The sequence below is a fragment of the Homo sapiens genome, chromosome 9, assembly GCF_000001405.40.
Source record: "Homo sapiens chromosome 9, GRCh38.p14 Primary Assembly".
Classification (NCBI taxonomy): Eukaryota; Metazoa; Chordata; class Mammalia; order Primates; family Hominidae; genus Homo; species Homo sapiens.
This window is the reverse complement of record NC_000009.12, coordinates 41,267,272-41,292,904: the sequence shown is the minus strand read 5'-3', so window position 1 is coordinate 41,292,904 and position 25,633 is coordinate 41,267,272. Positions and strand designations below refer to the sequence as shown.

Sequence of the window (25,633 nt, the reverse complement as noted above, 5' to 3'; positions counted from 1 at the left end):
TCTTACTTTATTTTTCACCACAGAGCTTCCTATCAACTAGTATGTTGAATATTTTGCTTATTAACTTTGTTTATTGTCTTCTCCCTCGATTAGAATATTAGCTACTTGAGTACAAGGATTTGAGCCTGTTACATTCACTGCTGAATTTTAGACTCCTGGAAGATACCCAGCATTCAATAGAGACCACACAATAAATATATGTCAAATAAATGAGTCTGTAAGTTCATCAATTTATTTGCCCATATGCATTAACTTTTGCCCATATAAATCCAATAACTCTTGTTATATGAAATCAACTGTACTATTTGCTTCATGTAATAGTTTAAAAATACATATGTGTGTATATAAATATATACAGAGATCATAGACCTAACTCCATCTATATATGTGTGTATGTGATATATAGAAATATATACACACATATATATGACTGACATATATATAAATATATACACACACATATATATGACTGACATATATATAAATATATACACACACATATATATGACTGATATGTATATCTCTCTTGTGTAAGTGGAATCAGGCAGTATTCAAACATACTTTCAATTAGTAATGACTATAGTTTAAATAAGAGAAAGTTTAAAGATTCTGATAGTTTAAATAAGAGAAAGCAAACATCACTACTACTAGTATTTGGGGAAAAAGATTACAAATAGAGATATTATGATAAAAGCATACAATATTTTTTATGTTTGTGCGCTTAGATCCATGTTCAAACTTTGGCTCACCTATACATGTATAGCACATTGGAATATGTGCTACAGTATGCCATTTATAAAGACTGAAAATAATAGTTTATAAACATTATTATTTATTTAGCAACCTCATAAGCTTGGTTTCAAAAATACCTGAATTACATAGCATAATCCCAGTGCTGGAGAACAGAACAGTAGCTGCCAAGGGTTAGGGTCGGCTGGAAGATGTGATTAGTGAGGGATAACGTGAAAACATGTACTTTGTTTGTGGTGATAGAGCAGTTCTGCATCCAGATAATGGTAATGGTTACATAAATCCACACTTCATAGATCTATACACACACATCACACATACATTCAAACACATCTGTACATGTAAAATCCTTAGAAATATGAATAGGGTCTGAACCTAAGTTAATGGTATGGAAACAATGTCAATTTCCTGATTTTGGCAATGTACTAGGTTAAGTTAGATATAATCATTGGGGAAAGTTGCCTGAAAATAGCATGGTCATTCATTTTACTTCTTTTTTTAACTTCTTATGAGTCAAATTATTTTAAAACAAAAGGTATTAAGCAAAGACAAAAATTTGAAAGTTCAAAAATCAAAGCCCATATGAATTTGGACATATTATTTGATTTCTTTTGTAGACCTTGATTTCTTCACCTGTAAAAATGGAATAATAGTATGATTCCTATCTCATTATTGCTATGCTTAAATCATACCACTTAAGTAGGTGCCTGTATATATATATATATATATATATATATATATATATATATATATATACATACACACACACACATATCTATATATATGACTGACTTTGACTGACTTAGGTCTATGATTTAAGATGTGGAAATTGGAATTTACCAGAACATTTGTGAATTGATTTGTTCTTATGCTTCACTAGCTGTCATGGTAAAGGACACCTTAGCCCAAGCTCATAGTATGAAAACACGTAAATGCTTCTATGTGCCCTAAATTTCTCTTGGTTAAGCTTTCTACTTTTTTTTTTGTTTATGACACAGAAATATGATCACAAAGCACATGTGTACCACAATACAAATTTCATGTATTTTGTCTCTGTATTATGTTTTCTTTCCATTTATGTCTTTTCAAGCTAACAATTCCCAATCTCCTAATACAGTGGGCCTTTCAAGCACTTACTTCTTTAGATAGTCATGTTCTTTTAACTAGGATCTCATAGATAAAGTTATCAAAGCATGGAAAAGGATGAAGAACCTTGACTCCTTCCCCTCTCCATCCCCCACTGAATTCAATTCGTCCCAACCTTGTATTTGTTTTATTCTTCTGGAAAAGAAAATATAGTCATCACCCTCAATAAATATACAATCTAGTTAGAGAGATATGACTTCAGAGTAGGATTTCTTAGTTTTGATTTTGATTATCTTCCTTTAGATATTTGGAAAGACCAAAATGCTGTATGCTTATGGACTGCAAACAGTATGAGTGGAAAACAAAAGTAATAAATGTTACTTCTGACTTTATTATAATGTTAGGATTGTTAATAGTTAACAATTACTTACTGAAGGAAGATTTAAATTGAATATTTCTAAATGGGAAAAATTTAAAAAGCAGGTGAGTCCATAAATTTTAGGACCCAGAATCTACTGAGCTAAAAACTCAATGAGAGTTAATTCTCTGTTGGTGTTGTAGCAATTCTTGAGGTTATTTGTGAAGACTTACATGAGAGCTAAACAATAAAAGAGGACTGAGACCACTTCAAGGGATGGAGAACACCTTCCTTTCTTGTTCAGATGATGCTCTGAGACATTGCTGTTTATTTTGACTGCCTCTTTTTAAACAAACTTCCACTTAGGAACTTAAAAACCACCTGTAAACCAACAGCCACAAAAAAGTGGGGAACTCAGTGTTTAAGCATTATTGTTCACCAGACATGGTACTGGGCACTTACATAAATGGTATGGTTTAAGCATGACAATAATGAGATAGAAATTCTACTATCATTCCATTTTTACAGGTGAAGAAATCAAGGTCTACAAAAGAAATCAAATAATATGCTCAAATTCATAAAGGCTTTGATTTTAGAAATTTTAGATTTTTTGTCTGTGTTTAATACCAATTATTTTTAAATAATTTGACTCACAAGAAGTTAAAAAATAGTAAAAAGAATGACCGTGTTATTTTCAGCCAACTTTCCCCAATAATTATATCTAACTTAACCCAGTATGTTGCCAAAATCAGGAAATTGACATTGTTTCCATACCATTAACTTAGGTTCAGACCCTATTCATATTTCTAAGGATTTTACATGTACTCTTGTGTAGGTGTGTGTGAGTGTATGTGTGATGTGTGTGTATAGATCTATGAAGTGCGGATTTATGTAACCATCACCATAATCTGGATGCAGAACTGCTCTATCACCACAAAGAAAGTACATGTTTTCATGTTACCCCTCACTAATCACATCTTCCAACCAACCCTAACCTTTGGCAGCCACTGATCTGTTCTCCAGCACTAGGATTATGCTTTGTAAATCAGGTATTTTTGAAGCCAAAGCTCATGAGGTTGCCAAATAAATAATAATATTTTATAAAATGTTATTTTCAGTCTTTATAAATGGCATACTGTAGCACATATTCAAATGTGCTATACATGTATAGGTGGCAAAGTTTGAACACAGATCTAAGTGCACAAACATAAAAAATATTGTACACTTTTATCACAATATCCCTATTTGTAATATTTTCCCCCAAAAGCTAGTAGTAGTGATGTTTGCTTTCTCTTATTTAAATTATCCGAATTATAGTCATTACTAATTGAAAGTATGTTTTAATACTGCCTGATTCCACTTACGTAAGATATCTAAAATAGTTAAACTCCTAGAAATAGAGTAGAATACTGGTTGCCAGGGTCTGGAAGGAGGGGAAATTGGGGTTGCTGTTCAATGGGTATAAAATTCAGTTATAACAGATGAATAAGTTCTAGAGATCTGCTGTCAACAGAGCACCTATAGTTAACAAGATTGTATTGCACAGTTAAAAATTTATTAAGAGGATATATCTCATGTTAAACATACTTACTTCATTAACAGAAAAAAATGGAATATTTTACACATAAAATTACATATATGCCTGAATTTCACATTTCGTTTCACAAATTGTACTGGTGCTTAAAAGGTATTTTTGCATTAAAAAACATCTAACTGAAGGAAAAGTTACAAATGAGTGATCATTCATAAATACAATATAATCCTAGGGACCGCTGTTTTTCCATTTTGAACACCCTCCACAATTAGTCTTAATAATTATGTTGACTGAATGCAAAATAATGATTTCTCAAGAGGCAATAGAAAATAGAGAATAAGTCCATTCTTGAGAAAATTTATAATTAGTGAAAGTAATTTTTTCATCCTCTTTTCTTATTTAAATCTCAAGTACTCTCTGCCACTCTGTGCTCTTCTTTCTGGGGTAAAATATGCCAGCTATCCACCGTCAGGGCATTCTCTAACCACTCCTCCTTAGAGATGTCTACAGACTTTTACTCAGCTAGACTGTCTTGTTGCCTGTCTTCATATCAACTTCGCAAGACGTGTGGACCATTCTCTTAGGCCCCTGCATGGCAGTGCATAATGTATTCCAGGCTAATTATCTAATGAGGTTCACTAAATTAATCTTTTATTATATCACATAAAATACTCTTAGATCTAACAGTACAAACATTTCCAATTATGGGCCGGGCGCCGTGGTTCACGCCTGTAATCCCAGCACTTTGGGAGGCCGAGCTGGGCGGATCATGAGGTCAGGAGATCGAGGCCATCCTGGGTAACATGGTGAAACCCCGTCTCAACCAAACATACAAAAAATTAGCCAGGTGCGGTGGCGGGCGCCTGTAGTCTCAGCTACTCACAAGGCTGAGGCAGGAGAATGGCGTGAACCCAGGAGGCGGAGCTTGCGGTGCGCCCAGATTGCGCCACTGCACTCCAACCTGGGCGACAGAGGGAAACTCTGTCTCAAAAAAAAAAAAAAAAAAAAAAGAAGAAAATTCCAATTACATCACTCCTTTGAATTACATCCTAAGACTAATTTAAAGAGGGTATCACAAAAATAGAAATGATAGCGACAGAAAATGGTCCCAATTTTCACTACACTGTTGCTAAGACCACCTTGCCACTCATCATTATAGAATGCCTTTCAGGTAACATAATAAGAGCCATTTTTAAAATGGAACCTTACTATACCCATGTGTGACAGGCAGAGGGACTCTATTATTATTCATAGTTTACAGATGAAGCAGTTAGATTTGCCCCAGGTCACTGGCTTATTCAATGACAGGCTAAGACAGAACCAAGTTTTATTCTCAAATAAGACCATAAAGAAGAGGATTGATCCAAATGACTTATAAAATTTTCTTACAGCCCCAGTAACAATAATAGATAAGCTAATGATTTCTTTAATAAAAATCTGATATGACAAGTAGAATGTGACAGAATCAACATGATCAATTAATCAGATTTGGGTAGTAGTTTGGTAGCTAAATGTTGGATACTCTTGGACATAAAGATGACAGTATTTATGACGATAAAGATGACCATTCCACAGTTTGAGAATTTCTACAGAGAGAGAGATGAAGAAAATTTCTGAAGTAATTGAAACTGTGTGAAGATGAATTATTTGGTTGATGAACTGCTATCATTCTAAATGGACTTCACTTTCTCAAAAAATAACGCATAAAGATGAAATATGTATTGAATGAAAATTATATTTTGTTTTTCCATTTTTTACCTAATAAAAAATCAGAAAAACAGATTTTTTTTAAAAAAAGAAAAGATGACTATAATAGACAATGGAGACTAGTAGAGGCAGTAGGGAGGGCAGCCAGGGTTGAAAAACTACAGGGTACTAAGCTTCGTATCTGTATGATGAGATCAGTCATACCCGAAACCTCAGCATGGCACAATATACCCGGGTAACAAACCTGCTTAGACATTTGTGTAAAATGAGATGATTGCAGGGTAGTTTTAAAAGTCATTCCCCTTATGAAAATATGGAATGTTGTGCACATTATTTCATAGACTTTGTGCTTAGTTAAAGGTCTTAACCAAAAATTCTAAATGATTTCTCCTATTAATAAATAAATATCAATAACATCATTTTAATGGGCTCTATGAAGACCTTATTTTGTGATTGTATCATAATTCAACAAGTGCCCTATTGTTGAACACTTAGGCTCTTTCTGATTATTTCCCTTTACAAAAAATGCTATATTATAAATTGTTGTATGTATTTTTAAGTTATGAAATTTTTAGGGCAAAAGGTGAATAAATGTAAGGTCTTTGATAAATACTGTCAGAATTCTCTCCATAGAGGATACGATAAAGCATCTTTTCATTTGAAGGAGCAAGAATAACTGCTAAATACTTCTGAGACTTCCAGTACTTTTTTGGTTTTAAGTTTTTTTTGTTGTTTATTTGGTTTTTTGGAGGTTTTCTGTTTTGTTTTATAAGTAGGTTTCAGTATTACTAAGTATTCAGTCATGGTGGATATTCGAAGAATAATTTCTCTCTTTGGGATTATTCCTCTAACACTATGAGCAAGTATCACTGTGTTCTTTCTCTAAAGGAAAATATAAAGCATAGACAAATTAAATGCTGCTCAGATTCTAAAACTATGAAAATATAACAATGGAGAAACAAATAGCAAGTCTGTAGCTACTCAGTGACTTTAGCATTGAGTGGATCCTAAAATGCCTATTTTGCACAGAATGAAAAAGATACAGCAGGTTCCTTTGGAAGATCAAAGTGAGAAAATTGACTACAGCTTTAACAGCCTTAAAATAAATTTTTGGCAGAATGGAAAAGTATGCATAATTGAGAAAAGTACACTAATCTGTAGAATAAAATAGATATAAAAACAGGCTAAACCGTAATGCTGCTTGCCTGTTCTTTTCACAACAATCTTCCACCAGTCCCTGACTGCTGTGTTTAGGGAATCAAAGTTTAGAGCTGAAAAAAATAGGAGGTTGGAGAGTTTAGGAGGAAGGCAGTGTAGGGCTGTGTAAATTGCAGAGAAGTCGGAGCCAGAAGACTTCAGTGGCATGCGATTGTGGATGGGCTATGAAATCTGGAAGCCTGCCTTTAAATACCAACTCAGACATTTACTAATCCTATGATCCCAGGCAAATACCATATCCTCTCTTTGGCTCAGTTTCTACATTTTTAAATAGAGATAAAAATAGTGCCTTACTGCCGGGCGCGGTGGCTCAAGCCTATAATCCCAGTAGTTTGGGAGGCCGAGGCAGGCGGATCATGAGTTCAGGAGATTGAGACCATCCTGGCTAACACGGCGAAACCCCATCTCTATTAAAAATGCAAAAAATTAGCTGGGCGCGATGGCTCACGCCTATAATCCCAGCACTTTGGGAGGCCGAGGCGGAAGGATCACGAAGTCAGGTGATCGAGAGCATCCTGGCTAACAAGGTGAAAACCCATCTCTACTAAAAATGCAAAAAATTAGCCGGGCGTGGTGGTGGGCGCCTGTAGTCCCAGCTACTGGGGAGGCTGAGGCAGGAGAATGGCATGAACACGGGAGGCGGAGCTTGCAGTGAGTCGAGATCGCGCCACTGTACTCCAGCCTGTGCGACAGAAGGAGACTCCGTCTCAAAAAAAAAAAAAGTGCCTTATTTTCCCAGTGCCTGACTCATATTATTTATTAAATATTAGCCATTCTTTTATTATATAACTAGATTGGAACTGGGCAGGTCACCTTACCTTGTGTCTCAATTTCTTCAACTGTAAAATGAAGTAGTTAGACAATGTGAGCATGTGATATCACAACTAGATGTGAAAGTCTATGGTCCTATCACAACAGCAACAACAACAAACTCACTGGATGCTATCATGCTACCATTAGAGTAGGTTTGGAAATGATCCGAAGCCAGCAAAGTGAATATGAAAATAAAGAATTCAAAGCACAGTAGGGGAGAAAAGGAGAGAGGGGAAATAAGAAAAGTCACTTTTACAGATAGATTTTTTACATCTATATTTATCATCTGATACTATAATTATATCAAATATGTGATTGATTGCATAGGCAATAAAGTTACTATAAAAGTCATTTGTGCATTGCAAGATGAGTGGTTTTTTCCAACTTCCTTTTGTAAACCAATAAGTGAATGAGGCAGATCTCAAGTGATTTAGAGATTTTGCTTTGCAAGGTGGAGGATACACCTGGGAAAAAGGATCACAAGTCACAAGTAGGTGATGTCCTGTGCTTTTTCTAAAGAGGGTTTTGGGAACTTCAATATTTAAAGGAGAAAGAGGAAGCAGGCAGGAAATTAAAACAGGGGAGGAAAAGAAGGAGAGAGGGAAGGCAAGAAAGCTAATGGCTACATTCTTGTGAGGCTCTGATTAGCGCTCAGTGAATCTATATGTTACATGTGGCAAAAACAGGAGGAAGGAGTCAGTTGTGCATTCATCCTCTCTCTCAGGAAATCTACATTTTACATAAGTTAAAGTAAGCATATGAAATTACAGCTGTTTGGGAACAAAAGGATGGCAGTTTTTGCATGACTCAGGTTCCAAGCTTAATTTTCCTTTGTCATAGTGAGTTTGGGGTCCTGAGATTTTATTTTTCTTTCACACTTTCTACCAATATAAAGCTTCCTCATAGATGCCTTCTTTTTTCAAACATTAACAACCCTCATGGTTTTCTCTCATTTTAAGTACAGAAAACATAATACTGTACAATAATTTTATCTGTCTTAAATACAAGACTGCTTATGATTCACTTAAAATAAAAAAAATGGCTCCACATTTCTGGTTTTTAGTTGGATTATGATTTCAACCAAAAATCAGAGCTTTTTAACCTTGAGTTTGAGTTTCACACACCCAGTAAAGTGGAAATATAGACTTTTTCTTAGGACAGTGTTATGACACTCAAAAGAATCGTGGCCAAACTTAATTACCTGTTGCAAACATCACTGCAGTTTTTTACTGAACTATCAGAGACTTTCTTGTGCTTATCACAGTGTATATGCTAAATGCATATTACAGGGCCAGGCACGGTGGCCCATGCCTATAATCCCAATGCTTAGACAGGCCAAAGCAGGAGCATTGCTTGAGGCCAAGATTTTGACACCTGCCTGGGCAACATAGCACAACCCCATCTCTAATTTTTTTTTTTTAATTAGCCAAGCATGGTGGTAGGTGCCTGTAGACCAAGATACTTGGGAGGCTGAGATGGGAGGATCAATTGAGCCCAGGAGTAAGGTTACAGTGAACTATGATCACACCCCTGCACTTCAGCCTGGGTGACAGAGTGAGACCCTGATTCTAAAAATAAAAAATAAATTAAAAATACATAAATACATAAATAAGTATTATGGAATCAACAAATAAATAAATTGAAAAAAGGATTGCATAAAATTACTTAGTAATGAGGCCTTTGTTGTCTATCCTTATATAAAATAAATCCCCAGGCCCCCACATCCCCCTTACTGTTCTTATTTTTCTCCATACCATTCATAGTCATGTTATACTACATATGTATTTGTTGATGGTCTTTCTCTTACTGGTAGAATGTAAGCTCCATGATAGAAGAGACGTTGTTGATGTTTTCCTTTGTATTTTTTTCACTGCTTAATTCCCAGTGCACACAGTAAGCACACAATAAATATTTACTGTATGGATATTTAAGCAAGTCACTTCCCTCAATTTCTTCAAATTATTTATGTCACTTTGAAGGTAAAATCTCTCTTCTATACATCATTTTTCCTTCAATCTCCACTTTTAATATCTGTCACTGGCAAACGTAATAAGTATACTCATTGTTCAGGTCAATAATGAGAAATTTTAAGCACTTTATTAAATATTTATTGAGTGTTCCTCTATAATGGACACTCTACTATACATTTCTGCCTTATTTGTGGAATGTATTCAATGTAATTATGCCACACAGGTAGACTTCCAGATCCTTGTGTCAAACTTACTTTCCTTGGCTTTGTTGGAGAATACATACTGTTATGAAGCTCACTTTAAGGCAAATATTTCCTGAAAATACAAAACTGATAGATATATGTATGTAGGTTTCCTTCTTATATGTCTTTTACAAGCAATGAAGTTGTATATCTCCTTTAGTGTTTAATGTGTTTCATCAGATAATGCCCTAGAAGTTTTATCAAATTTTTCTGTCCATCTTTTGAAGGTGTATGAGTGAAAAAATGCAGTCTGCTGCTTCACTAATAAAACTAGGACAAACGCCATTCCAACTGAAATATGTGAAACACTTGGTTTTATTAATTTGAAGCATTTTAAACCTCTAAATTTGGACTCGAGTAAAGACATTTCATAGAAAAACTGAAATATTTTTTGTTTATTTTTTAATCTTGATAACTTGTAATAGTTTACAGCCACAGTGGCAGCTTTTATATGTGTACATGCATTTAAATACAGTTTCATAAATAGCCATGTGGCAAAATATCTGCCTCCAGGCAAAAAAAAAATATTTGCCACTAAATGAACATCTTTAAGTAATATTGAAAATAGATGTGAGGTAATTTTTTATCTAAAGTGACTGTAGCCTATATTAAGACATGCTCACTGTAACAATTCAAGTTTTAAAATCCTTGTTTTATAACTCAAAAATGTGTCTTTTCCAAAAAACACATCTTTACATTTATTGCTATTGTACATTCATTTGGCAGGAAACAGGGATGTTTGATGTCTTGCAATGATAAAACAATCATATTCAATAGAAAGTTATCTCACATTCTGCATGACTTTTGAACATTCTATAAGATAATTACATAAGTGAAAAACCAATTTGTAGATATCTGAGTGAGTACAACCATTTAATAAATGTGAATAAAGCATTTCAGAACATTTTAATGTACACTGCATTTTCTGATAGTAAGATTTTAGGTTAAAATAAGATTATACTTTAAAAAGCTTACCATTATGAAAAAAAATTATATCACTGTTGGCAATGCCTTTTTCATATTTGAGATGCTAGTCCAACATATTGCATATCCATTTGTTTTTGTTTGATTTTATTGTTATTACATTCATGGTAATACTAAAATACACACACACACAATTACTTAGGTTTTTTTTCCGATAAAAAGCCCAAAGAAAAATGCTGACAACGTTCAGCTGAAATTTTGAAATTGGGTTTTATAATTCTGCCCACATAGCAAAAGCTGAAATGGTCTATGAAGATGCAGTTTTTGAAAGAATGAAGCAAGTAGTAAAACCAACAAAACCAAGTGAAAATTATACAAGGAAACACAATAATAAGTTAACAAAAAAATACACTTTTTCTTCATGTTGACAAGACATGATTTATTCCTTTCTAATATTTTCCCATCTCTTATAAATATATAAGCTTGCTTGTTAATACTTTGTCTAACTCTAATTTTTATTGTTACCAATGTCATTAATACTTTATTTTTCTTTATTTCTCTTGTAAAGTGACTTCTGAACTTCCTAGTTTGTTTAAACTATCGCAAGGTCAGAAAACCAAACACTGCATATTCTCACTCATAGGTGGAAATTAAACAATGAGAATACTTGGACACAGGCAGGGGAACATCACACACTGGGGCCTGTCATGGGGTGGGGGGCTGGGGGAGGGAGAGCATTAGGAGAAATACCTAATGTAAATAACAAGTTAATGGGTGCAGCAAACCAACACAGCACATGTATACAGATGTAACAAACCTGCACGTTGTGCACATGTACCCTAGAACTTAAAGTATAATAAAAATAAATAAATACATAAATAAAATAAAATGAATAAAAAATAAATACAAACATATTAATCATAAGTAAATGAAACATCTGATAATCTCATTATGTCTGGTAGTAATGTCACCTCTGAGTATTTAAATATTCATCTACATATTTCTTTGCTAAATTTCCTTTTATTTCTCCTTTATATTAAACTTTTTTTTAGAGAGCACAACTCCAAAGCATCTTTTATTAATATAGAAAGGTCATATTTAGCAAAAGACACAAGGCAAGGAAGTGTCAGGCCTGAGGTCTGAGCTGTGCTGAGGGAGAAAGAGGCTCTGGACAAGTGCTGGGAAGGGCTGAGTGGTGGGGGCCACAGAAAGTTCCAGTGGGCAACACTGTCTGCAGGTCATGGGTGGGACTCACGGGGACCTCGCTGCTAACTCTTGTTGCGTTGGCGGGGTGGGGTGGGGAGGGGGGTCCTTAGTGCTGCCACCTGCAGTGAGAACCGCCCCTTGGTTCCTGGAGGGCACCCATCAAGGGACACAGGACAGGAAGCCCAGGATGGTTAGTGCAACTAGGGATGAAGGCCAGGGAGAAGCAGGTGCTCTGAAGTCCAGACACAGAGGCCTAGGAGCTTCCTGTTAAGTGTGGGCGTTCCGCTCTGTCTCTACCAGGCACTCTGACTAGGGATGGATGATACCTCTCTTCAGGCGCTCCGCGGCGCTCTTGCTGCCAGCATAGGTGGGCCGGATCCCTTTGCCCATCTCCCCTGTGACCAACAGCAGTTCCGTGTAGGTGCTCTGGGAGCCCTGGGCACCAGGTGGTTTCATGGCCTGCATACAACCGACGGTAGGCGGTCCAAAGTCTTTAAACAGCGGTCTGCAAGGGGCAGTGGCTCCCGGCCCTGAGCCCGACGGCGACGGGACGCTTCCTGTAGGGACCGGAGTGCCTGGCCCAGGGGTGCTGAAGCCGGGGGTGCTGCTGGGGGCAGGGGTGGTAGGTTTGTAGGACATCCCCAACTCCTGGGCGCTGGGGAAGCCAGCAGGCTGCTCTTCGGGGGTTGGCTGCGGGACCGCTCAGCAACGATCTGATTGGCAAGAGGGCTGCACGCCCCCTGGTAAATCTATATTAAACTTTTTAACTGCAATTTGTATTAATCTAAATACAGTTCAAATATTCTCCATGAAAATTTCACATTTGAGTTGAGACATCCTAAAATGTAAAATACACAATGGATTTCAAAGATTTCATATGAAAAAAGAATGCAAACTATCTCTAATAATTTTTATATTGATTATATATTGACCCAATATTTTGGATATATATTGGGTTAAATAAAATATACAATTTAAAAAAATTATGCTACATTTTTGTTAAAAAATTTAAATAAACTATATATGAAATTATTTCTTGGGATAGAAAAGGGGACATGATTAAATATTTACTTAAACTTTTTTCAAAAACATATCTTTAAAACAGATTTTCAAACACAACAAAAGTATTTTAATTTTGAATAGGTAAAATAAACTTATTCCTGCTGAAATTCAATCATGGCATGATTTCCTTTGTATGCATTTGAGGACTCTGTTTATAACCCAGATAAAAACATAAAACTTTTGAAACTCTTCTAAGAATGTCTAACACAAATTACCTGTATAGATATCATGGCACAGACGATGCTGAGGCCGGACTGACTGAAGAAGAACAGGCTGAAGATGCTGTACTCACACAGCAGCTGGCCCCCAGGTTACCCGCCCTTCATGTACATGGCGATGGTCACCTGGCTCACCAGCAAAGTGAACAACAGGTCGGTGGCAGCCAGCCGCATAACTGTGTAGAAGGTGGTCTCCTTCTGCTCCTTGCGCGACTTGCACAGCACCACGATGGCCACCAGGTTGCCCACCACCCCGAAAATGGACGGTCCCAAGCTGTCCAGCAGATTGGGCTCCAGGCCAAGGACACATTGGCCTGGGAAGGGGTTAACATGACAGTGGCTGGTGGTACGCAGCCCTGGAGTGCGAAGCTGAGTCTGGAGATGGCAGAAGAGAGACAAAGCCACCATGAGTGAAATGACCACCTGCAGGGCATTAGACCCACGCCCAGGAAACGGGATGCTAACATGACAAGGGAGGAACTCAATCCCACTCTCTGGATTGCAACCACTTACCAACGGCAGCCACCCAAATCTCCAGGCTCCCTCTGCTCCTGCCAGCAGCACACCCTTGCTGATCTTAATATTTATAAACTGAGCCTCCCATTCCTCTTCCTCCCCCCAGCCTATCTCACTCCACTGACAAGACCCATCTCCAGGGAAAGGTAGCTCCCTAGTATTATTCCCGACAGATTCTGAGTTAATAAAATGCACATTGAAACCCTGGAAGACAATTTGGAAATTGCTCTCTTTCCTCCTTGGCTCCCTTGGCAGCGCCCCATCTCCGCGCCCTTTGCCCGATGGCCCACATCCCATGTCACGTGTAGCGGCCCCAGTGGTGGGGCCTAAGACAATGAAACCTAAGACTAATTGGTGTACCTGAGGGAGAAGTGAATTCTAAAGGCTAGGAAAACATATTTGGGGGAATAATCAAGGAAAACTTCCGTGGCCTTGTGAGAGACCTAGACATCCAAATACAAGAAGCACAAATAACACCTGGGAAATTCATCACAAAAAGATCTTAGCCTAGGCACATTGTCATTGGGTTACCCAAAGTTAAGACAAAAGAAAGAATCTTAAGAGCTGTGAGACAGAAGCACTAGGTAACCTATAAAGGAAAACCTATCAAACTAACAGCAGATTTTGCAGCAGAAACCTTAAAAGCTAGATGGGATTGGGGCCCTTTCTTCAGCCTCCTCAAACAAAACAATTATCAGCCAAGAATTCTGTATCCAGCAAAACTAAACATCATATATGAAAGAAAGATACAGTCATTTTCAGACAAACAAATGCTGACAGAATTTGCCATTACCAAACCAGCACTGTAAGAACTGCTAAAAGGAGCTCTAAATCATGAAACAAACCCTGGAAACACATCAAAACAGAACTTCATTAAAGCATAAATCACACAAGACCTATAAAACAAAAATACAAGTTAAAAAGCAAAAACAAAAAACAAAAACAAAGTACAGAGGCAACAGAGAGCATGATGAAAGCAATGGTACCTCACTTTTTAATACTAATGTTGGTTGTAAATGGCTTCAATGCTCCACTTACAAGATACAGAACCACAGAATGGATAATAACTCACCAACTAACTATCTGCTGCCTTCAGGAGACTCACCTAACACATAACGACCTACATAAACTTAAGGAAAGTGGTAGAAAAAGGCATTTCATGCAAATGGACACCAAAAGCCACCAGCGGTAGCTATTCTCATATGAGACAAAACAAACTTTAAAGCAACAGTAGCTAAAAGAGACAAAGACAGACAGTATATAATGGTAAAGGTCTCATTCAACAGAAAAACATGACAATCCTAAACATACATGAACCTAACACTGGAGCTCCCAAATTTATAAAACAATCACTAGTAAACATAAGAAATAAGATAGACAGCAACACAATAATAGTGGGGGACTTCATTACTCCACTGACAGCACTAGACAGGTCATCAAGACAGAAAGTCAACAAAGAAACACTGGATTTAAACTATACTTTGGAACAAATGGACTTAACAGATATATAAGAACATTTCATCCAACAACCACAGAATACACATTCCATGCAACAGCACATGGAATTTTCTCCAAGATAGACCATATGATAGGCCATGAAATGAGTCTCAATAAATTTAAGAAAATTGAAATTGTACCATGCACTGTCTCAGATCACAGTGGAATAAAACTGAAAATCAACTCCAAAAGGAATCTTCAAAACCATGCAAATACATGGAAATTAAATAACCTGCTCCTGAATGAGCACTGGGTGAAAAACAAAATCAAGATGGAAATGGAAAAAATTTCTTTGAACTGGATGACACAACCAATCAAGACCTCTGGGATACAGCAAAGGCAGTGCTAAGAGGAAAGTTTGTAGCCCTAAACACCTATGTCAAAAAGTATGAAAGAGCACAAACAGACAATCTAAGTTCACATCTCAGAGAACTGGAGAAGCAGGAACAAGCCAAACCCAATCCCAGCAAACAAAGGAAATAACCAAGATCAGAGCAGAACTAAAGGAAATTGACACAGCAACAACAACAACAACAAATACAAAACATGAATAAAACAAAAAGTTGGTTATTTGAAAAGATAAACAAAATCGATAGACCATTATAAGATTAACCAAGAAAAGAAGAGAGGAAATCCAAATAACCTCACTAAGAAATGAAACAGGGGATATTACAACTGACACCACTGAAATATTAAAGATTATTCAAGGGTACTATGAACACCTTTTGGCACAAAAACTAGAAAACCCAGAAGAGTTGCATAAATTCCTGGAAAAATACAACCCTCCTAGCTTAAATCAGGAAGAAGTAGATACCCCAAGCAGACCAATAAAACAAGCAGCAAGATTGAAATGGTAATTTTAAAATTACCAACAAAAAAAGCCGAGGACCAGACAGATTCACAGCAGAATTCTACCAGACATTCAAAGAATATTTTCTTTCATTCAAAGAAGAAATGATACTAATCCTTTCACACTATTCCACAAGACAGAGAAAGAAGAAACACTCCCTTCTTTCTATGAAGCCAGCATCACCCTAATACCAAAACCATGAAAGGACATAACCAAAAAAGAAAACTACAGACCAATATCCATGATGAACACAGATGCCAAAATCCTTAACAAAATACTATCTAACTGAATCCAACAACATATCAAAAAGATAATCCACCATGATCAAGTGGGTTTCATACCAGTGACACAGGAATGGTTTAACATATGCAAGTCAATAAATGTGATACACCAAATAAACAGAATTTAAAAAAAAACTCACATGATTTTATCAACAGATGCAGAAAAAGCATTTGAAAAAATCTAGCATTGCTTTATGATTAAAGCTCTCAGCAAAATAGGCATACAAGGGACATACCTTAATGTAATAAAAGCCATCTATGACAGACCCACAGCCAACATAATACTGAATGGGGAAAAGGTGAAAGCATTCCCTTTGAGAACTGGAACAAGACGAAGAGCCTACTCTCACCACTCCTTTTCAACATAGTACTGGAGGTCCTAGCCAGAGCAATCAGACAAAAGAAGGAAATAGAGGAAATCGAAATCGGTGAAGAGGAAGTCAGACTGTTACTGGTTGCTGACGATATGATCTTTCGCCTTGAAAACCCTACGGACTCCTCTAGAAAGCTCCTAGAACTGATAAAAGAATTCAGCAAAGTTTCCAGATACGAGATTAATGTACACAAATCAGTAGCTCTTCTATACATCAACAGCTACCAAGCTGAGAATCACATCAAGAACTCAACCCCTTTTACAATAGCTGCAAAAAACAAACAAACAAAACTTAGGAATATACCTAGCAAAGTAATCAAAAGACCTCTACAATGAAAATTACAAAACACTGCTGAAAGAAATCATAGATGGAGCCAAGCACGTTGGCGCATGCCTATAATCCCAGCTACTCGGGAAACTGAGGCAGGAGAATCGCTTGAACCCGGGAGGCAGAAGTTGTAGTGAGCCGAGATCACACCATTGCACTCCCACCTCAGCGACAAGAGCGAAACTACCTCTGAAAAAAAAAAAAAAAAAAACAAGAAAGAAAAGAAATCATAGATGACACAAACAAATGGAAACACATCCCCATGCTCATGGATGGGTAGAACCAATATTGTGAAAATTACCATTCTGTTAAAGGCAATCTACGAATTCAATGCAATCCCCATCTGAATACCACCATCATCCCTCACAGAATTACAAAAACAATTCTAAAATTAATATGGAACCAAAAGAATGCCATGTAGCCAAACCAAGGCTAAGCAAAAAGAACAAGCCTGGAGGCATCACACTACTTGATTTCAAACTGTACAATAAGGCCATAGTTACCAGAACAGCATGGTACTGGTTTAAAAATAGGCACATAGACCAATGGAACAGAAGAGAGAACTCAGAAATTAACCCAAATACTTACAGCCAACTGATCTTTGACAAAGCAAACAAAAACATAAAGTGGGGAAAGGACACCCTTTTCAACACATGAAGTTGGGATAATTGGCGAGCCACATGTAGGGGAATAAAACTGGATTCTCATCTCTCACCTTATACAAAAATCTACTCAAGATGGATTAAGAACTTAAACCTAATTCCTGAACTGTAAAAATTCTAGAAGATAACACTGGATAAACCCTTCTAGACATTGGCATAGGCAAGGATTTCATGACCAAGAACCCAAATGCAAATGCAATAAAAACAAAGATAAATAGCTGGGACTTAATTAAACTAAAGAGCTTTTGCATGGCAAAGGGAACAGTCAGCAGAGTAAATAGACAAATCGCAGAGTGGGACCCCTGACCCTGACCCCTGACCCTGACCCCTAACCACTGACCCTGACCCCTAACCCCTGACACAAACCCTAACCACTATCCCTAACCCCAACCCTCACCCTAACCCAACCCTAACCCCTAATCCCTAACCCCTAACATCTCTTAAACCCTAACTCTAAACGTTGACTCCTAACCCCTAACTCTGACCCCAATCCCTATCTCCAACCTCTAACCCTAAACTTAACCCCTAACCCCTAACCCTAACACCAACCTTAACCCTAGGTTCATTACTAAGTTTGTATTGACTATGTCAATGTTGATTATTATGATGGCTGTCTTTGGACTGCACGGCAGCGAGGGGATTGCGGATCTTATATTAATATTTTTGTATTGAGGCAGCGCATTAGCATTACAGGTGCTTGTTACATGAGCAATGGGGGTGTCATATTTTGGGTGTCATGTCTGCATTAGGAATGCCGCATTTGTCTTCCGAGGCTGCGGTGTGGATCTCGCACTGCGGCCGCCTCGCCTTGGCTGGGGAGAACCTCGGTGGGCAGGATTCAGAGGGGCTTTTGGTTTCCCGTTTTCCACACTGAACCCTTCTAACTGGTCTCTGACCCTGATTATTCAGGGCTGCAAACAGGAAGGATTTTATTCACCGTTGATGCGGCCCCGAGTTGTCCCAAAGCGAGGCAGTGCCCCCAAGGTCTGTGCTGAGGAGAACGCTGCTCTGCCTTCGCGGTGTCTCCCGGGTGTGTGCTGAGCAGAACGCAGCTCCGCCCTCGCGGTACCCCCGGCCCGCCCGCCCGGGTCTGTGCTGAGGCGAACACTGCTCCGCCTTCGCTGTATCTCCGAAGTCTGTGCAGAGGAGAACTCAGCTCCGCCCTCGCGATGCTCTCCCGGTCTGTGCTGAGGAGAAGGCAGCTCCGCCCTAGCAAAGGCAGAGCGCCCTTCGCAAAGGCAGAGAGGCGCAGAGCCCCGGCGCAGGCGCGGAGGGGGCGCAGGCGCAGAGGGGGCGCAGAGCAGGGCAGATGGCACCAAGAGTGGGTCCCTCAGGCCTCGAGCGCACGCATTCCAGCGGCCACCCAGACCATGCTCCGCCGACTGGGCGCCCAAGCTGCAGTCGCCCTCTGTGTGCAGGCAGCAGCTGCCTGGCAACCCCCGAGCTCGCTCGCGCTGTCAGCATCGCAGAACCAGGGCCAGGTGTCCCAGTGGCTGCGGCCAAGCCAGGCATTCTGACCGGCGGCGGTGGCGGCTGCACAGGAGCGAGAACTGAGAAGCCGCCGCTCAACCCCACACGGGGTGACTGCTGAGGGCCCATACCAACGGCCCCGATCTCCCTCAGGTGGAGGACTGGGCGGGAGGCACAGCCTGGGGGCCCTCAGGCTGGGCGCGCTGGCGATCCCGAGGCCGACCAGGCCATGCACCTCCAGCCCGCCTGGGCACCCAAGCTGCAGCCGCCTTCTGTGTGCAGGCAGCAACCTCCAGGCAACTCCCGAGTCCGCCCTCACTTCCCACATCTCGGAACGAGGGCCAGATGTCCCTGTGGCTGCGGCCAAGCCAGGCGGTCTGCCCTGCAGCAGCTGCACGGGGGCGGGAACCGGCCCTCAGCCCTATCCCCCGTGGCTGCAGAGGGCCCTTGGCTAGAGGTGTCGAGCTCTGGCATAGGAGGAGCCGGGCGGGGGCAGGGTCTGGGGGGCTCTCAGGCCAGGGGCACTTGCGATCCAGAGGCCGCCCAGGCCATGCTCACCACCTGGGCGCCCAGCTACAGGCGCCAGGCAACTCCCAAGCTGGCTGGCGCGCCCAGCCTCGCAGACCCGGGCATGGATGTCGCCGTGGCTGCGGCCAAGCCAGGCGGTCTGCTCGGCGGCGGCTGCACCGGGGCAGGAACCGACCCTCAGCCCCATCCCCGGTGGCTGCGGACGGCCCCTGGAGCGGCCCCGACGTCTCTTCGGAGGAGAAGAGGGGCGGGAGTCACGGCCAGGCAGGCCCTCAGGCGGGAAGGGATGCGCGCCTGCGATTCCGGGACGTACCGCGCCAGCCCAGGAGAACCCGGAAGCCAGCAGCTCTTGTTTCTCTGTGTGATTCTGTGAGGAACCACCAAATTGTTTTCCACGGCAAGTGCATCATTTTCTATTCCTAGCAGCCAGTTCATGAGGGCTCCAATTTCTCCACCTCCTTAGCAACATTGATTTTCTGTGTCGTTGTTATGAAAGCCTTACTAGTGGATGCAAAGTGGTATCTCATTTGGGTTTTGTCTTGCATTTTATTAATGAATAACAGTGTTTAGCATCTTTTCTTATCCGTCTTACACATTTGTGTATCTTCTTCGGAGAAATGTCTATTCAAGTCCTTTGCCTATTTTTTAATTGGGATGTTAGAAATTCTGATGTTGAGTTGTGGGATATTAAGCTTTTATCAGATACGCACTTTGATTTTATCAGATACATATTTTCTCACATACTATGGGTTGTCTTTTCACTCCCTTGATAGTATCCTTTGATGCATAAAGGTTTTTTATTTTGATTAAATCTAATTTACGTGTATTTTCTTTTGTTATCTGTGCTTTTCTGTCATATTTCAAAATACACTTAAAACTCAAAGGTCATAAAGGTTTACCTTGTGTTTTCTTCTAAGAGTTACATACTTTAGTCCTTACATGTAAGTCTTTTATTAATTTAGAATTAATTTTCGTGTATACTGCAAGGTAGGGGTCTAACTTCTCTCTTGTGCACTGACATCCAGCTGTTGAAGAGACTGTTCTTTCCTCCCTTGACTAGACTTGGACAGCTTGTTGAACAGTCATTGACCATATATGTGAGCGCTAATTTGTAGGATCTTAAATCTGTTCTGTTGTATTGGTCTAAAAGTCTATTAGTCTTATGCCAGTACCACACTCTCTTGATTACTGTAGATTTGTAGTAGGCTGTGAAACTGAAAAATGTGAGTTTTCTAATATTCTTTTTCAAGACTGTTTTGTCTGTCAGATCCTTTGAATTTTTGTATGAATTGTAGAATGAGTTTCTTTCTTTCTGCAGAAATGCCTTTGGGATTTTGATGGTATTGCATTGAATCTGTAGATTACTTTAGATGGTATTGTCATCTTAACAGTATTGTCTTACAACCCGTGAACACAGAATGTCTTTCCAGTTATTTCCACTCTCTTTCGTTTTTTTCAGCAAAGTTTTGTGTATACCACCATGGTTAGATTTATGCCTGAATAACTTATTCTTTGATGCTATTATAAATGGAATTTTTAAAATGTTTTCATAGTTCTTTACAACTATATAGAAATATAGCTCATTTGCCTATGTTTGTTTTGCATCCTGCCTCTTTTATTAGTTATAATCGGTTTTGTGTTTTATTTGGAGCTTTATACACATAAGATCATGTGTAGATATAATTTTACTTCTGTTTTTTATTTCTAATGTAGATGCCTTTTATTTCTTTGTCTTGCCTAATTGCTCTGGCTAAAATTGCCAGTGGTACATTGAACACAAGTGGCAAATGCACCATGCTTGTCTTGTTCTAGATGTTAGGAAAACAGCTTTCAGTGTTTCATCATTGATCATGATATTAACTGTTGGGTTTTTGTACATCCTATTGTCACGTTGCAGAAAATCCCTTCTATGCCTAGTTTATTGAGTATTTTTATTATAGAAGGGTGTTGTATTTCATCAATGTTTTCTCTGCATCAATTGAAATAATCACGTGCTTATTCATTTTACTGTTAGAGTATATTACACTGATTGATTTTTTATATGTTGAGCCACCCTTGCATTTTGGGGATAAATCTCACAGGGTGATAGTTTACAATCCTTTGATTATACAGTATTGCTGCTAGTATTTTGCTGAGATTTTTGCTTATATATTCATAAGGGATATTGTGCTGTAGTTCTCTTTTTGTGCTCTCTTTGGCTTTGGTATAAGGATAATGCTGTTATCAAAAAATGAATTAGCAAGTATTCCTTCTTCATATATTATGTCAGAAGAGTTTGAGAAGAAATGGTATTAATTCTTCTTTAAATGTTAGGTTGACTCACCAGTTAATGCAGCTATTTGGTCATAAATGTTTCTTTGTTAATCACTTTCGATTACTAATTCAATCTGCTAGGTTATAGGTCTATTCAGATTTTCTCTTTCTTCTTGAGCCACTTTGGTAGTTTGTGTCTTTCTAGTGATTCGTCCATTTCATCCAGGACAGCTAATTTGTTGTTAGACAGTTGTTCACAGTATACTCCTGTAATCCTTTTGTATTTCTGTAAAGTTGGTAGTAATGGCTCTGCTTTCATTTATTATTTTAATAATTAGTCTTCCATCTTTTGCTCAGTCAATATAGTGAAAGGCTTGATCTTTCAAATAATCTATGTTTATTCATTCTACTGCTCTCCAAACTTCTATTTTATTGATTTATGCTCTAATTATGCTCTCTATTATTTCTTTCATACTGCTAGCTTTGGATTTAGTCTTATTTTGTCTTCTTCCACTGCCTTTAGGTATAGAGTGAGGATGTTGATTTCAGATTTTTCTTAAATGTAGTTATTTATATCCATAAATTTTCCTTTGAACTCTACTTTCACTGCATTCAATAAGTTTTGGTATGTTTTGTTTTTATTTTAATTTATCTCAAGATATTTTATAATTTTGCTTGTGATTTATTTTTTTCACTCACTGGTAGTTGAAGACTGTATTGTTTAATTTCCACATTTTCGTGAATTTTCCAGTTTTCACTTATTTATCTGTTGTTTCTTCCATTGTGGTTGTAAATTATATTTTGTATGATTTCAAACTTTTAAAAATGATTAGGACATATTTTGTGGATGAAGATATGGCCCATCCTAGAGAACTTCCATATACACTTGAAAGGAATGTATATTCTGCTGTTGTTGGATGGACTGTCCTGTATATGCGTATTAGCTCTCAGTGGCTTATACCGTTGTTTAACTCTTGTATTTCTCATGAAGCTTCGGTCTGGTTTTTCTATCCATTAATTAAAATGAGGTATTGAAGGGTCCAACTGTGACTATAGAACTGTGGGTTTATCCTTTCAATCCTGTTAATTATTTCAGCTTTACTGAGGTGTAATAGAGAAATAAAAATTGTACGTGATGCGTTTATATGCACATTCTGAAATGATTACCAAAACGAAGTCAATGAACATGTTAATTACCTCACAGAATAGTTACCTTTTTGTGTGCATGTGTGGGATAAGAAAACTTAACTCTATCCCCTGTGACTGCAGAGTGGCCATTCCAGCTGCTCCAGGCTCCAGCAGAGGAAGACTTGGGCAGGTGGCACCACCAGGGAGGCCCTCAGGCCTGGTGCGCACGCATTCCAGAGGCCACCCAGACCATGCTCCGCCGCCTGGGTGCACAAGCTGCAGTCGCCCTCTGTGTGCAGGCAGCAGCTGCCTGGCAACCCCTGAGCCTGCTTGCGCTCCCAGTCTCGCAGAACCAGGGCCAGGTGTCCCTGTGGCTGTGGCCAAGCCAGGCATTCTGCCCGGCGGTGGCGGCTGCACAGGGGCGAGAACTGAAAACCCGCCGCTCAACCCCACACGGGGTGACTGCCGAGTGCCCATGACAGCGGCCCCGATCTCTCTCAGGTGGAGGAGTGGGTGGGAGGCACGGCCTGGGGGCCCTCAGGCTGGGCGCGCTGGCGATCCCGAGGCCGACCAGGCCATGCCCCTCCAGCCAGCCTGGGCTCCCAAGCTGCAGCCGCCTTCTGTGTGCAGGCAGCAGCCTCCAGGCAACTCCTGAGCCTGCCCGCACTCCCCACATCTCGGAAGCAGGGCCAGATGTCCCTGTGGCTGCGGCCAAGCCAGGCGGTCTGCCCTGCAGCAGCTGCACGGGGGCGGGAAGCGGCCCTCAGCCCCATCCCCAGTGGCTCTAGAGGCCCCTTGGCTAGAGGTATCCAGCTCTGGCAGAGGAGGAGCCGGGCGGGGGCAGGGTCTGGCTTGACCATTTGGAATTACAATACACTTCATTCATCAACCACAGAACATACACTGGAGTATCATCTGCGTGCAGATGAGTATACTGCTCAAAGCGATTTACAGATTCAATGCTTTTCCTATCAAATTACTAATGTCATTTTGCACAAAATAGAAAACATCTAAAATTTATATGGAACCTAAAAGGAGTCTGAATAGCCAAGCCAAAGCAATACTAAGGCTAGAGACGTAGGCTAGCCAAGCCAAAGCAATACTAAGGCTAGAGACATAGGCTAGAGACATCATATTACATGACTTCAAACTATACTAGAAGACTATAGTAATCAAAACAACATGGTACTGGTAGAAAAACAGACACATAGACCAATGGAACAGACTAGAGTACTAGAAACTAAGGCCACATGCCTGCAACCATCACATCTTTAACAAAGTTGACAAAAGTAAGCAATGGGAAAAAGACTTTATTTAATAAATAATGCGGGGATAACTGGCTAGTCATATGCAGAAGAATAAAACTAGACCCCCATATTTCACCAAATACAAAAATTAGCTTAAGATGGATTAAAGAGTTAAATGAAAAAATCTCAAGCTATAAAACGCCTAGAAAAAAACCTAGGAAATACTTTTCTTGATAACGGCCTTGGCAAATAATTTATGGCTAAGTCCTCAAAAGCAATTGCAACTAAAACAAAAAATGACAAGTGGGATTTAATTAAACTGAAAAACTTTTGCACAACAAGAGAAACTATCAAGGTAGTAAAGAGATAACCCACAGAATGAAAGAAAATATTCACAAACTACGCATCTAACAGAGGTCTATTATGCAGAACCTATAAGGAACTTAAACAAATCAACAAGCAAGCAGCAAGTAACTCCATTAAAAAGTGGGCAACAGGACATGAACGGACACTTTTCAAAAGAAGACATACACACAAGCACCCAACAAACATATGTAAAAGTGCTCATCGTCATTATTTATTAGAGAAATGCAAATCAAAACTGAAATGAAATACCATTTCACACCGGTCAGAATGGCTTTTTTTGAAAAGTCAAAAGAAAAACACATATCGGTGAAGATTTAGAGAATAGAGAACACTTATACACTTTCTGAAGGAATGTAAATTAGTTCAGCCACTGTGGAAAGCAGGTTGGGGATTTCTTAAAGAACTGAGAGTTGATCTACCATTCAATCCAGTAACCCCATTACTGGGTATATACCCGAAAAAAAATAAATACCCTATCAAAAAGACACATGTAGCTATATTTTTATCACAGCAGTATTCACAATCACAAAGACATAGGCTTAATCCAGACATCCATCAGTGGTGGATTGGATAAAGACTCATGGAATACTATACAGCCAGAAAAAACTCAAAATTATGCCATTTGAAGCAACATGAATGCATTCTTTCCAGAAAACTAATGCAAAAGCAAAAAACAAAATACCGCATGTTCTCTTTCATAAGTGGGAGCTAAATGCTGGGTACACATGGTCATAATACAGAGGGGTGGGAGGGGCCGGGACTGGTGGCTCACGCCTATAATCCCAACACTTTGAGAGGCCAAGGTGAGCGGATCACCCGAGGTCAGGAGTTTGAGACCAGCCTGGCCAACGTGGTGAAACCCCGCCTCTAATGAAAACACAAAAATTAACTGGGCATGGTGGCTGGCGCCTGTAATCCCAGCTACTCGGGGGTCTGAGGCGGAGAGTCGCTTGAACCCGGGGGTCGGAGGTTGTAGTGAGCCAAGATCGCGCCACATCACTCCAGCCTGGGCGACGGAGCAAAACTCTGTCTCAAAAACAAACAAA

The 25,633-nt window shown here is 39.4% G+C and overlaps 4 pseudogenes, besides 6 other annotated features; 2 read left to right on the top strand and 2 right to left on the bottom strand.

The window, feature by feature from the left end:
* On the bottom strand, positions 11,801-12,527 carry CDK2AP2P1 (cyclin dependent kinase 2 associated protein 2 pseudogene 1; annotated as a pseudogene).
* Positions 12,816-13,315: an enhancer, noted in NCBI's record as "H3K4me1 hESC enhancer chr9:45362613-45363112 (GRCh37/hg19 assembly coordinates)". NCBI's record gives its function as "activates a minimal SCP1, AML or CMV promoter by ChIP-STARR-seq in naive H9 embryonic stem cells {active_cell/tissue: H9 hESC(naive)}" and the evidence as "EXISTENCE:reporter gene assay evidence [ECO:0000049][PMID:30033119]".
* On the bottom strand, positions 12,997-13,446 carry PTGER4P1 (prostaglandin E receptor 4 pseudogene 1; annotated as a pseudogene).
* Positions 13,316-13,817: an enhancer, noted in NCBI's record as "H3K4me1 hESC enhancer chr9:45362111-45362612 (GRCh37/hg19 assembly coordinates)". NCBI's record gives its function as "activates a minimal SCP1, AML or CMV promoter by ChIP-STARR-seq in naive H9 embryonic stem cells {active_cell/tissue: H9 hESC(naive)}" and the evidence as "EXISTENCE:reporter gene assay evidence [ECO:0000049][PMID:30033119]".
* Positions 18,642-18,971: a silencer, noted in NCBI's record as "silent region_19921". NCBI's record gives its function as "represses an Ori minimal core promoter by ATAC-STARR-seq in GM12878 lymphoblastoid cells {active_cell/tissue: GM12878}" and the evidence as "EXISTENCE:reporter gene assay evidence [ECO:0000049][PMID:35858748]".
* On the top strand, positions 18,874-22,890 carry LOC105376060 (translation initiation factor IF-2-like; annotated as a pseudogene).
* Positions 18,874-24,726, top strand: LOC107986999 (translation initiation factor IF-2-like; annotated as a pseudogene).
* Positions 19,674-20,242: an enhancer, noted in NCBI's record as "H3K27ac-H3K4me1 hESC enhancer chr9:45355686-45356254 (GRCh37/hg19 assembly coordinates)". NCBI's record gives its function as "activates a minimal SCP1, AML or CMV promoter by ChIP-STARR-seq in naive H9 embryonic stem cells {active_cell/tissue: H9 hESC(naive)}" and the evidence as "EXISTENCE:reporter gene assay evidence [ECO:0000049][PMID:30033119]".
* Positions 22,941-23,509: an enhancer, noted in NCBI's record as "H3K27ac-H3K4me1 hESC enhancer chr9:45352419-45352987 (GRCh37/hg19 assembly coordinates)". NCBI's record gives its function as "activates a minimal SCP1, AML or CMV promoter by ChIP-STARR-seq in primed H9 embryonic stem cells {active_cell/tissue: H9 hESC(primed)}" and the evidence as "EXISTENCE:reporter gene assay evidence [ECO:0000049][PMID:30033119]".
* Positions 23,510-24,079: an enhancer, noted in NCBI's record as "H3K27ac-H3K4me1 hESC enhancer chr9:45351849-45352418 (GRCh37/hg19 assembly coordinates)". NCBI's record gives its function as "activates a minimal SCP1, AML or CMV promoter by ChIP-STARR-seq in primed H9 embryonic stem cells {active_cell/tissue: H9 hESC(primed)}" and the evidence as "EXISTENCE:reporter gene assay evidence [ECO:0000049][PMID:30033119]".
* Positions 24,727-25,633: the final 907 nt, after the last annotated feature.